This window comes from Homo sapiens, chromosome 17, assembly GCF_000001405.40.
Source record: "Homo sapiens chromosome 17, GRCh38.p14 Primary Assembly".
NCBI classification, from domain to species: domain Eukaryota; kingdom Metazoa; phylum Chordata; class Mammalia; order Primates; family Hominidae; genus Homo; species Homo sapiens.
The window spans coordinates 17,901,701-17,915,481 of record NC_000017.11 but is presented as its reverse complement, the minus strand read 5'-3'; the positions used below and the strand labels follow the sequence as shown (position 1 = coordinate 17,915,481).

The 13,781-nt window shown below is 49.0% G+C and overlaps 1 protein-coding gene across 17 annotated transcripts in view, besides 1 other annotated feature; it reads left to right on the top strand.

Moving 5' to 3' along the window:
• Positions 1 to 13,781, top strand: part of TOM1L2 (target of myb1 like 2 membrane trafficking protein) — a 128,890-nt gene that overhangs the window by 56,919 nt on the left and 58,190 nt on the right. For all 17 annotated transcript variants that reach the window (NM_001288789.2, XM_047435389.1, XM_047435386.1 and 14 more), the window contains exon 2: positions 7,951 to 8,035. In NM_001288789.2, the coding sequence (NP_001275718.1) occupies positions 7,951 to 8,035 (85 nt within the window). The remainder of the gene's footprint in view (positions 1 to 7,950; positions 8,036 to 13,781) is intronic.
• Positions 530 to 1,152: an enhancer, noted in NCBI's record as "H3K27ac-H3K4me1 hESC enhancer chr17:17817644-17818266 (GRCh37/hg19 assembly coordinates)". NCBI's record gives its function as "activates a minimal SCP1, AML or CMV promoter by ChIP-STARR-seq in primed H9 embryonic stem cells {active_cell/tissue: H9 hESC(primed)}" and the evidence as "EXISTENCE:reporter gene assay evidence [ECO:0000049][PMID:30033119]".

Below are 13,781 nucleotides of genomic sequence, written 5' to 3'. Positions count from 1 at the left end.
CTCCAAAGAAGATATACAAATGGCCAAAAAGCACATGAAAAAATGCTCAACATCAGTAGTCATTAGAGAAATACAAAACAAAACCACACTGGGATACCACTTCACACCTGGTAAGCCAGGATCCCATCATTGAATTGGTGGTACCAATATTTGATCCTAGTTCTGTCTCTAAAGCCTGGATGTTTGCATGATATAGTCTCACCTGCTAGCAAAGCCTGAGTTTGGATCTGAAGTTAATATCTTGGAGGAATTCTGAAACTACCCCATCCTAACTCTCAATTCATGAAAGGATACCATCACCACTATTTTAATAAAAGTTTAATACAATCCACACTTCGCCGATACTCAGATAATAACATAGAAGACCTCTGTACAGGCTGGAAGTATCCTTGTTTTACTGGATGCAGCTATGGTGAAGTGACACTTGTTTTTTACGTAACAAACTAGATAGAACTCACACATCCAAACAAAAGCTATACTTTACAAGCAGTGACAGCACACTCCAAAAATATAGCTGTTGCTCAAAACATTTGTGCAACAGTCTTCTGTCTGCATTAAAAAGCCTCATTGTTTTATTTACTGCTCTTTTTAAATTTTTTTTTACCTAAAAAAGATATATCCCTAACCTTTTCTCTTTATTCATCACACTTGGCACTCAAAGACTCAAAGACTTGACCACCCAGGTGCCTCCAAGCCCCTGCTCTGAGAAAGCAACCCCACCCCCAAATAGTAAGAATCTGACTTCACATGAATGCAATACACAGCCAGAGGACTGGGCAGGGGCTAGGAGGCTCTTGAGATTTGGAGCAATCTTAACCAAAGTCAGTCCTCAGATGGCACCAGGCTGGCAGTTACAGAAGCAGTATTTGATACTTGTCTACAAGATGGGGAAAGTGGAGGAGGAGAGGAAGGGATGAGAATGCATGTCAGCAATGGTTAAGAGCCAGATAGGCCCCAGAGATGCCATACCCCCTCTCTGCCCTTTTCATGCATGTGGGAAAGAGAGTAAAAGTCATAAAGCCAGCAAGGAGCAGACCTGGGCCTAACAGGGAAATCAGAGCCCCCCAAGGGAGGGCAGGCAGGCCTAGGAAGAATGGGGGTGGTGGTAGGCACATCTGTTTAGAGAAGAAAAGACTGAGGGCAGAGGTTCCAGGAAGGTTAAGGGGGAGGACACAATGTAGCCACTGAGACAGCAGTGTGCCCTGTCACCCTATGGCTTATCCAGACACAGAATGAGCCCCAGGTGTGCTGGGAGCCTGCAGCAGTGAAATGGTGCCTGCCTCCTGCCCCTGCTCTTCCTGCAGCTGTCTCTGAACACCCCTCCTCTGTCCACGCCCAGAGGGAATGACTCACCACCTGGGTCACACACAGCAGGGGCATGTCTGCAGCCATAAATCCAGCAGCCTCCTCAAGAGGAGACTTATCCTGATGGAAGCAGCTTTGCCTGCGGGCCTGGACTTGCTACTCTTTTGAGCCAGGAAGGGGAGAGGCCAGCTGGCTAGGGGGTAGTAGTCTCTCCCCTTCACAGAACTCAAGCTGTGGCACAGACTCTCATGGAGAAGAAAGTACAGAGATTGCACTTTGGTAGGGCTACAAGGGATACAGTCTTGGGAGGCTTAATAGAGGAAATATTAAATCAATGAAACCTCGTTTCCAAGTTCGGTTTAGCAGCAGAATCCATTAACCTTATATTCACCCTTTCCTTTCCTCTTATGATACTGGGGAAGGGTTCAAAGGCATGATAACTTATCCTCAGGGTCAGTGCATTCTATTCAATTACTGGGATTTGAGTTTTCAAGCTAAAAGATATATACCCATTTTGATTATAAAGAACCAACCCAAAAAGAATGCTTCTTTCTTTTCATTTTGCAGAAAATGCCACACAAACACAACCATGGGTATTTAGCTCTACTGAAACAGATGAGGGAAGTAAGGCTGACAGAGGAGCTCAAATCAGTTCTGATTTTTCTCTTCATAAAAGAATTTCCATTCTGCAGCATTCATTCAGGAAGCACTCATGAAGAGCCTACCAGGTGCCGGCCCTGGCCTGGGGCTGGGCTTAGAGCCGGGGCAGGATGGCCCGGCATCTGCTCCATGGAGCTCACAGCCCAGCCTAGGCTGGCAACTCCAGTCTGCCCCAGTTTCCAGTTCTGTCCATTCCCCTTGCAGCTCAGCATGGATGAAGCTTTGAAATCCAGCTCTCCCTCTCCCTCTCCCTCTCCCGTCTCCCCACGGTCTCCCCCGTCTCCCCACGGTCTCCCTCTCCCTCTCCCGTCTCCCCACGGTCTCCCTCTCCCTCTGTTTCCACGGTCTCCCTCTCATGCCGAGCCGAAGCTGGACTGTACTGCTGCCATCTCGGCTCACTGCAACCTCCCTGCCTGATTCTCCTGCCTCAGCCTGCCGAGTGCCTGCGATTGCAGGCACCCGCTGCCACGCCTGACTGGTTTTCGTATTTTTTTTGGTGGAGACGGGGTTTCGCTGTGTTGGCCTGGCCGGTCTCCAGCTCCTAACCGCGAGCGATCCGCCAGCCTCGGCCTCCCGAGGTGCCGGGATTGCAGACGGAGTCTCGTTCACTCAGTGCTCAGTGGTGCCCCGGCTGGAGTGCAGTGGCATGATCTCGGCTCGCTACAACCTCCAACTCCCAGCCGCCTGCCTTGGCCTCCCAAAGTGCCGAGATTGCAGCCTCTGCCCGGCCGCCACCCCGTCTGGGAAGTGAGGAGCGTCTCTGCCTGGCCGCCCATCGTCTGGGATGTGAGGAGCCCCTCTGCCTGGCTGCCCAGTCTGGGAAGTGAGGAGCGTCTCCGTCCGGCCGCCATCCCACCTAGGAAGTGAGGAGCGCCTCTTCCCGGCCGCCATCCCATCTAGGAAGTGAAGAGCGTCTCTGCCCGGCCGCCCATCGTCTGAGATGTGGGGAGCGCCTCTGCCCCGCCGCCCCGTCTGGGATGTGAGGAGCGCCTCTGCCAGGCCGTGACCCCGTCTGGGAGGTGAGGAGTGTCTCTGCCCGGCCACCCCGTCTGAGAAGTGAGGAGACCCTCTGCCTGGCAACCGCCCCGTCTGAGAAGTGAGGAGCCCCTCTGCCCAGCAGCCGCCCCGTCTGAGAAGTGAGGAGCCTCTCCGCCCGGCAGCCACCCCGTCTGGGAAGTGAGGAGCGTCTCCGCCCGGCAGCCACCCCGTCCGGGAGGGAGGTGGGGGGGTCAGCCCCCCGCCCGGCCAGCCGCCCCGTCCGGGAGGTGAGGGGCGCCTCTGCCCAGCCGCCCCTACTGGGAAGTGAGGAGCCCCTCTGCCCGGCCACCACCCCGTCTGGGAGGTGTGCCCAGCGGCTCATTGAGAACCGGCCATGATGACAGTGGCGGTTTTGTGGAATAGAAAGGCGGGAAAGGTGGGGAAAAGATTGAGAAATCGGATGGTTGCCGTGTCTGTGTAGAAAGAAGTAGACATGGGAGACTTTTCATTTTGTTCTGTACTAAGAAAAATTCTTCTGCCTTGGGATCCTGTTGATCTGTGACCTTACCCCCAACCCTGTGCTCTCTGAAACATGTGCTGTGTCCACTCAGGGTTAAATGGATTAAGGGCGGTGCAAGATGTGCTTTGTTAAACAGATGCTTGAAGGCAGCATGCTCGTTAAGAGTCGTCACCACTCCCTAATCTCAAGTACCCAGGGACACAAACACTGCGGAAGGCCGCAGGGTCCTCTGCCTAGGAAAACCAGAGACCTTTGTTCACTTGTTTATCTGCTGACCTTCCCTCCACTATTGTCCTATGACCCTGCCAAATCCCCCTCTGTGAGAAACACCCAAGAATGATCAATAAAAAATAAAAAAATTAAAAAAAAAAAAGAATTTCCAGCTAATCAAGAGCAAAGTTGGATCTGATTGCCTCTGGAACTAAGGCCACTCAATGTGGGCTCCCTCACTCAGTCCTGTCCCCAGGCCAGAGGAAAGCAAAGTTCAGTCTCATTTATTTTGTCACCTAAATCGTCAAAACCTAAAATAAAACCTGGTGCAACAGCAGAAACACAAGTGTTCTAGGGAACAGTGGGGCAAGTCCTTCCCACCAGCCAGCCCTCTGGACGGATAATTGTAAAGTGCTGACCTCTCTGGTGATATGCTAATGGCCAAGGACTGGGCTGGGGAAGAGGCTGGGTAGGGTAGGCCAGGCTGGGCTGGACTGGACAGGGCAGGGCAGGCCTGAGCTCGGGTAATCAGATACGGCTCCCATTAAATCTTCAGTGCAAGAGCAGCATAGCATCCTGATGCCGTTGCCATGGCATTTTCTCTCGCCTGGGGTAGGACCCAGGCCAGGATGCCCTGAAGCCTTGACGCTGACAGCAGTGATAGTGCTGGCTCTGAGCATGGTTTTTCTGCCCACCCACCCTCCTATGTTCTCTGAAACCTAAGGCAGCCCTGTTTGGAGGAGCCTCGCAATCCAGCGGCTTGGCTTTTTGGCTGCCGCTTTCTACACTTTGATGTTAAATATAGTGACTTCAGAAGCAGCCAACACCAGAAGGCAAAAGAGGACTGGTTTTAGCATTTTGCATTCAGCAACATCCTTTTGGTGAGAATGGAGAAGAAAACAGCCAAATGATCTACCTCCCCAACCATCAAGAGTGTTGGGGCTGGGCACAGTGGCTCACGCCTGTAATCCCAGCACTTTGGGAGGCTGAGGTGGGTGGAGCACCTGAGGTCAGGAGTTCGAGACCAGTCTGGCCAACGTGCCGAAACCCATCTCTACTACAAATACAAAAATTAGCCAGGCATGGTGGCACGTGCCTGTAATCCCAGCTACTCGGGAGGCTGAGACAGGAGAATTGCTTGAACCCAGGAGGTAAAGGTTGCAGTGAGCCGAGATCACACCATTGCGCTCCAGCCTGCACAATGGAGTGAGACTCTGTCTCACATAAAAATAATAATAATAATAATAGTAATAATCACTGAATCCCACCCCATACCATTCAAAGTAGAACCTCTGGGGCATGAGGCTCAGGTATTGGTGCTCTCTAGAAGCTCCCCAGGTGGTTCTCGTGTACAGCCAGGGCTGAGATCCATAACTTAGAGGAAGGGTTGCTAATGCAGTCATTCATCTGATGTAAATGCATTGCACTACTGCCAAGTGCTGGGCACTGGGGACCCAGTGGAAGGCAAGACAGACCTAGTCCCTGCCCTCACAGAGCTCACATCCCAGAGGGGGAAGGGAGTCAAGTGACCCTGGCTGTAGTCCTGGCTCTGCCACTGACGATCCTGAGCTCCTGGACCTTTCCCTTTTCTTCTGCGGGCCCCGGGTTTCCCGTCAAAGGAGGCTACAGACCCAAATGATCTCTGATCCCCACCCTGCTACTCCCTGACCCAGCAGTCCATTGACCTATGTATAATTTTTCTGTCTTTTTTGGTGGTGGTTTTTAAAATACACATAACATTAAATTTATCATTTTAACCATTCAACAAAAAGTTTTTTAAGAGACAGGGTCTTACTCTGTTGCCTAGGCTGGAATGCAGTGGCTCAATCATATCTCACTGCAGCCTCAAACTCCTGGACTTAAGCAATCTTCCTGCCTCAGCCTCATTAGTAGTTAGGACCACAGGCACAAGCCACTATGCCCAGCTAATTTTTAAATTTTTTGTAGAAACAATGTCTTGCTATGTTGCCCAAGCTGTTGTCAAATCCTGGATTCAAGTAACCCTCCTGCCTCAGCCTCCCAAAGTTCTGAGATTACAGGTGTGAGCCATTTTGCCTGGCCCATTTTAACCATTTTAAAGTATACAGTTCAGTGGCATTAAGTATGTTCACATTGTGTGCAACCATCAACAACCATCTCCAGAACTCTTTCATTTTCCCCAAACTGAAATTCTGTGTTCATTAAACAATAACTCCCCATTCCCCCACCCCCACACCCCCCAGCAGCCTCTGGCAACCACCATTCTACTTTCTGTCTTTAAATTTGACTATTCTAGGTACCTGATTGTAAGTAGAATCATCTAGTATTTGTCTTGGTGAAAGGCTTATTTCACTTAGCACAAGGCCCTCAAGGTTCAGCCATATTGTGCATGCAATAGGATTTCCTTCCTTTTTAAGGCTGAATAATAATCCATTATATGTATATCCATTTGGCTTATCCATTCTTTAATTGATGGACACAGGCTGTTTACACCTTTTGGCTCTTGTGACTATTGCTGCTATGAACATGACTCTGCAAATATCTCCTCAAGGCCCTGCTTTCAGTTCTTTTGGGTATATACTCAGAAGTAAAATTGCTAGATCATAGGGTAATGCTATGTTTTTTGTTTGTTTGTTTGTTTTTGTTTTTGAGACGGAGTCTGGCTCTGTCGCCCGGGTTGGAATGCAGTGACATGAACTTGGCTCACTGCAAGCTCCGCCTCCTGGGTTTACGCCATTCTCCTGCCTCAGCCTCCTGAGTAGCTGGAACGACAGGTGCCCACCACCACACCTGGCTAATTTTTTGTATTTTTAGTAGAGACGGGGTTTCACCATGTTAGCCAGATGGTCTCGATCTCCTGACCTGGTGATCCATCCTCCTTGGCCTCCCAAAGTGCTGGGATTACAGACGTGAGCCACCGCGCCTGGCTGGGTAATTCTGTGTTTTAACTACCGTCCTGTTTTCCATAGCAGCTATATCATTTTACATTTCCATCAAAAGTGTAAAGGGGTTCCAATTTGTCTATATCCTTGCCAACACTTGTTATTTTCTATTTTTTTGATAGTAGCCATCCTAATGGGTGTGAGGTGATATTTCATTGTGTTTTTGACTTGCACTTCCCTAATGCTTAGTGATGTTGAACCTCTTTTCACATACTTGTTAGTCATTTATATATCTTCTTTGGAGAAATGTCTATTGAAGTCCTTTCCCATTTTTTAATTGGATAGTTTGGGTTTTTTTGTTATTAAGCTATAGGAGTTCTTTACGTAGTCTGGATATTAACCCCTTATCATATATATAATTTTGCAAATATTTTCTTCCTCTGCAGGTTCACTGTGTTGTGTCCTTTGATGCCTGGAAGTTTTTATTTTGATGTAGTTCAAAATTTTTCTTTTGTTGCCTGTGCTTTTGGTGTCATATCCATGAGATGATTGCCAAATCTAGTGTCATGAAGTTTTTTCACTATGTTTTCTTCTAAGAGTTTTTTAGTTTGAGCTCTTACATTTATGTCTTTGATCCATTTGGAGTAAATTTTTGTATATGGTGTAAGATAAAGGGTCCAAGTTCATTCTTTTGCATGTGGCAATCCAATTTTCACAGCACCATTTGTTGAAAATACTGTCCTTTCCTCATTGAGTGGTCAGAAAGTCATTTTGTGGATGAGATAAAATAATGTACGTGAAACACCCAACACCACACCTACAGTGGCTTGATAACCAATGGTCCTTTCTTTCTCCCCCTTATCTGAAATGTAGTTTTTAACTACTGCAATTGATTTTTAATAATCCCAATAGCAAATACCTGTATAGTACTGACTGTGTGCTAGGCTCTGTTCTAAGTGTTTCATGTATATCAACCCATTTAATTTTCATAACAAATATATCAGGTAAGTGCTGTTGTTTTCACTAGCTTTGGCACCTAGAAGTTAAGTAATTTACCCAAGACCACACAACTAGTAAGTAGTGGAGCCTGTATTTGAACCTAGGTAGTTTGGCTCCAGACTCTACGGGTTCATAAACCTAATATCCTCATGTTTGGGGTGATTTTTGATGGCTTAGGCCTGTCATAAGCTTTTCAGTCTAGAGTTTGGTGAATGAAGAACCTCGTTATAACATCAGCCCTCAGGCCAGGACCTTTCCCGGGTGTTCTCTTGTGATAATAGCACTCCTAGAATGGCTCTGTTGGCTCAGCCCATCTGCTTGGGAGAAGAATGTGGTGGTTCTGGTCTCTTCCCATTTCCTGCCAAGGCCCACTTATTCCAGGAGAAATGTAAACCCATTTTCTCTCTGATTTCACAGAAAAGGCAACAGATGGCTCCCTGCAAAGTGAGGATTGGACGTTGAATATGGAGATCTGTGACATCATCAATGAGACGGAGGAAGGGTACGTGTGCCCCCCTCTCCTGGGAAGCCTCTCTGAGCTTTTAGGGGCCACTCAAAGCTTGTCAGGGCCTAAGGGTGGCAGGTTTTATTTTTTGTTTTGTTCCTAGTATGTTTGGTTTGGCATCGAATAAGCTGACACTCTGAATTATCTGTCCTTTTTGTCTTCATCCCTCCCCCACTTGCCCAATGGCAGTGCTTGGAGGTAGAACAGGGATGACCTCCTTTAATCACCTGCTTTTAATCACAAGTGGAAATGAAGCTGCTTGATTACTTGGTTCCCAGTGGCCATTAGTCTCTGCAGCCCAAGTGTCACCTCGTCCCTCCCCTCCTCCCTGGCCTCTGCCTCTCCTTCACAGCCTGTCTCTGCCCTGGTTTGCCAGGAGTCAGAGAGCACCACCGTGTCCATGGAGGGAGGTCCAGGGCATGGGGCAGACACGGCCGGGAGTGGGAAAGCGGCATGAGTGGACTTAGAACACGTTGCCCCTCCTGCATTCCTGCACTGCTGGATCCGTTCCTGTTGTTATTTCCTGAATCCTCTTTTGTTTTACAGCTGCACTCTATTTGTACTTCTTCCAAACTGGTCTGTATTTAGCCCTCTGTCCATACCACTAACACTTACTTTACTGTAGCCATGCCCTCTTAAACCATTTTCAGGAGTGGCAAGGAGAGCAGCTGGGACTCAGGCATCCCTGGGCTGGCATCTCAGCACTGTCACTCTAGCCTTGCCATGTGTGAACTGGGGACCAGCCTCTCAAGCTTGGTCCTGCTTTCATGCAACAAATATTTCTCGAATGACTACCTTGTGCCAGGCCCTATTGTAAATACTGAGGACACAGCAGTGAACAAGATAGATTCCTTCCCCTTGGGGAGCGGCCAGTCTAGAGTAGTAGGGAGGCAGGCCATAAACAAGATAATTAAACATATAACCTGGTCAGATGAGGACAAGACTGTGGAAGGGAGATGGGGAGAGAGGAGGCTGGGAATTAGCAATGTTAAATAGAGTGATCAAGAAAAGTCTTGGCTGGGCTCGGTGGGTCACATCTGTAATCCTAGCACCTTGGGAGGCCAAGGTGGGCCAGTTGCTTGAGCCCAGGAATTCGAGACCAGCCTGGGCAACACGGTTGAATCTTGTCTTTACAAAAAATACAAAAGTTAGCCAGGCGTGGTGGTGCACACCTGTAGTCCCAACTACTTGGGAGGCTGAGGTGGGAGGATCACTTGAGCCCAGGAGGTCGAGGCTGCAGTGAGCCATGAGCATGCCACTGTACTCCAGTTTTGGTGACAGAGAAAAACCCTGTCTCAAAAAAAAAAAAAATGAAAAGAGAAGACAAAACAACAGAAAAGTCTCATTTAGAAGGTGACATTGAACAAAGACTTGAAGGAGATGAGGGAGTAGGGGGTGAGGATTATACAAGGGAAGAACTGTCAAGGCTCATGGAACAGCAAACCCAGAAGTCCTGGGACAGAGGGTGTCTGATGTGTTTGAGGAATAGCAAGGTGGCTAATGGGCCCGGAGCAGAGTGGTCAAAGAAGAGAGTACCTGGAGAGGAAGTTACCGACATACTGGGGACCCAGATAACACAGGGCCATGTAGAACCAGAGCAACTCTGGCTTCAACCTTTTTGGAGATTCAAGCAGAGGAGTGGTGTGGTCCCACTCTTATTGGAAAGAGATCACTCAGTCTACTGTGTTCAGAGTGGCCTGACTGGGGGCAGGCCAAGGACAATGCAGAAAACCCAGCGATGGCCTGGCATAGTGGCGTGCACCTGCAATCCCAGCACTGTACGAGGCTGAGGCAGGAAGATTGCTTACGCCTAGGAGTTCGAGGCTGTGATGAACCAGGACGGTGTCACTGCATTCTAGCCTGGGCGACAGAGTAAGACCCTGTCTCTAAAAAGAAAAAAGAAGAAAGAAAACCCAGTGAGGAGGTTATCACAGTAATACTGGTGTGAGATGATGATTAGAAGTGATGGGATTCTGAATGTGTTAGATGGTAGAGCCAATGGAATTGGCTGACATAAGACAGGAATGAAGAGTTAAGGGAAATTGCAAGGTTTGGGGCCTGAACAACCATGGGATGGAGCTGCTGTTTCCTGAGGTGGAGCAGGCTGGGGAGCAGAGATCAGCAGTAGATCTTTGCTGCCAGCCAGGCTCCTGGAAGATGTGACAGGGAACTGCACAGGGAACTTGAGTTGGGGGCAGTGGCCTGCACTGGATGAAAACGTGGGAGTCTTTGGTGAAAGGTGGCATATTTTCACCAGCTAAATATAGGTGATCAGCTTGGTGCCTGGTACACAGACGTGACTCACAAATAGTTGTTAGGGACTACACATCTCTAATCCCATCGTCACTGGGCTCCGAGTGGCTACCTTCCTCACGTCCTCCTAACATGCCACTCATTCACTTGTTTGTCCAGTCATCTGGCCATGTTTACTGACCCCCAGGGGTGGAGGTATAGCAGCTACGGGATGCCAAGGTGAATGTTCCAGCCTGCCCTTGAACGCTCACCTGGCAGGACTGGCAAGGGCTGTGGCCAAGGCCTGTCCCTGATGCCATGGTCCCAGAGGGAAAGGTGGGTATCAATGCTTCCTGGAGGGGCTGTCTTCCAGGATGGCAGGAGAAATGTGTCCCGTAGCCAAGGGTGGCATCAAAAGGGCCAGTGTGTCAAGGGATACAAGCTGTCTAGGATAGACAGGGTGACATTGGGGGAGCGGGAGGGTCTGGAATCCGGCTGGAAAGGTAGTCAAGGTCAGGTGCTGCATTCTCTGGTGTCTGCACTTTACCCTAGAGGTGGACCTCTGCTTCGACCCCTTCCCTCCTACCCCTTCCTGCTGCACAACGACCAAGTTGCTCCCTTGCTAACAAGCCTTCAGGGGTTTCGCAGGCACTTAGGTTAAAAACCCCAACCAGGCCCCTCATGAGGAGCCCCAGACCCCTCGGCAGCTCCACTTTGAGCTCTTCAACCCTGCTGATCTTTCAGCTCCTTGAATTTTCCATATTCCTGGGCCCAGCTTGAAATTCTCTACAGATTTGAGCAATATACAAATATGTTGGCAACTCTTATTTTCCAGTGAATTGCTCAAATATCTCTATGGCTTGAGGGCAGGAAGCCCAGGAACCCCAGGAGCTTCCTTATTCTGAAGGGGCCAATGCCTTCTTTTTCAAATCCTCAATTCCCAGAAGGCTGGTCACACACATCTTTCTCTTCAAGTGGCTAAAGCTCCTGTTGCTACCTTTTTGAGTGAGAGCACCTCAGTGATTCCTGAGAATGTTTTCTTGTTGCCTCTGCTGTGAGGTGTCTCAAAATCTCTTCCTAGCAAGGTGCAGTGGCTCATGCCTGTAGTCCCACCTATTCAGAAGGCTGAGGCAGGAGGATTGCTTGAGCCTAGGTGTTTGAGACCAGCCTAGGAAATGTAGTGAGACCCCATATCTTAAAAATAATAATAATAATAATAATCTCTTCCTGAGTGAAAGAAACTCCCACAAGTTGGACTGACAGTAGGGCACCCCACCCACCCCTTTGTGCCCTCCCTGAAGGCCTCTGACCTGCTGTCCCTTCTGTTCTCGTCACCTCTTTCACTAAGTAGATCCCGTCATTCACTGGATCTCTCAGTTTGAATCTCATTTCCCTAACCCCTTCCCCTCCTGATTTGGACAAGTCCTCTGTTATATGATTTCATAACCCGTGTTGTACTGATGCTCATCACAGTTTAAACTTACAGATCTGTGGGACGGTTGTTAGTGTCTGTCTTGCCCTGCAACCCCCGCAAGGCTGTGATCTCCATGAGGACAGGATTTCCATCTGTTTTACCCAACATTTTTTTTTTTTTTTTTTGAGATGGAGTCTCGCTCTGTCGCCCAGGCTGGAGTGCAGTGGCGCGATCTCGGCTCACTGCAAGCTCCGCCTCCCGGGTTCATGCCATTCTCCTGCCTCAGCCTCCTGAGTAGCTGGGACTACAGGCGCCCGCCACCACGCCCAGCTAATTTTTTTTGTATTTTTAGTAGAGACGGAGTTTCACCATGGTCTCGATCCCCTTACCTCGTGATCCGCCCGCCTCAGCCTCCCAAAGTGCTGGGATTACAGGCGTGAGCCACCGCGCCCAGCCAATTACTCAACATTTTGTCCCTAGCACCTAGCACAATGCATTTGATTAGCTGTTAATAAATATTTGTTAAATAAGTGAATAAATGAATGAAGTCTCTAAGGTACTCACAGTCTGATGAGGAATGCAGGCATATAAACATATGCATAACGAGTGCTGGGTGGGGGGCAGGGAGAGAGAGAGAAGCTATATATAGCTACGGAGACTAGTGCAGTGGCAGTGGTCAGCCTTGGGACTTTTGGCAGCAAAGCCTTCTTGGAGGAAGTGACACCAGACTGGAGTCTTACAGAGTGCCAGGGTATCAGCCAGATGAGGCAGGTGGATGAAGGGGAGGAAGGTGGACACCACAGGCTGGAGCAATTCTAGGTCACCACTCGCTTATTGTGCGAGCCTGTGTGAGTTACTTCATCTCCCTGTGTCTGTGTCCCATTTCCTCACTTATAAAATGGGGTTGCCAATAATACCTATCTCATAGGGTTGTTACAAGGATTAAAGGAGTAAATATATATGATGTATCTGGCTACATAACTGTATCTTCATATCCATACTATATCTATGTGGATGTACTATTTCACTTTAAAGATTTCCATTGCCCATGACTTTTGTCATCACTTTCATTTGGGTGTCAGTTATCTGCCCAGTCTTGGTGACTATCTTGGTGGATTCACTGCCCTTACCCTGTCTGCTGTCTGTGAGCACTTGGCATGTGCCACGCCCTGCAGGCCCTGTGTCCAGCCCTGCAGTGCATCATCACAAGCAGCGCCCCCTACCCCCAACAGTTCTATATGGTAGTGACAGCCTGTTTCAGTGTTAAGGAAACTGAGGCTGAGTAGTTTGGTCACTTGCCAAAGGCCTTGCAGCACAGCTTGGAAGGGCACATGCAGGATGCAAGCACAGGCTCACCTGGCCGCAGCCACTGAAGTGCTGCCTGCACTTCTTGTATTTGTGCAATACTTTACCAATGGGAGGCTGTGGTCCTGGTGGGTGCAGATTGGTAAACTGCCCGAAAGGCCTCTCCTTGGGCTTTCCCTAATGTCCAGAGCTGAGGTCACCATCAGCCTGAGGAATGCTGATGCCTAAGGCCTTGATGACAGTCCTTCAGGCATTAACCAGGAGTGGCTGACTGAATAACCTACCTGGGACTGTTTTTATTTATTTATTTATTTTTGAGGTGGAGTTTTGCTCTTGTCGCCCAGGCTGGAGTGCAATGGTGTGATCTCAGCTCACCACAACCACCGCCTCCCAGGCTCAAGCAATTCTCCTGCCTCAGCCTCCTGAGTAGCTGGGATTATAGGTGTGTACCACCACGCCCGGCTAATTTTGTATTTTTAGTAGAGACAGGGTTTCACCATGTTGGCCAGGCTGGTCTTGAACTCCTGACCTCCCACCTGCCTTGGGCTTCTAAAGTGCTGGGATTACAGGCGTGAGCCAGAGCACCCAGCTGGGACTGTTTTAGACTCTGTTTTCCAGGCCTCACCTCAGACCTACACAATCAAGGCACAGCTTGTGGATTTGGGAATGGCACTACAGGTGACTCTGATGTGCAGCTCTCATGAGGAACCCCTGACCTGGGTCATTTACATGGCCATCTCTGGACCCTCCTCAGCTCATAGAATCTTTGTGTTCTATCTTCTAAGCTGGAGA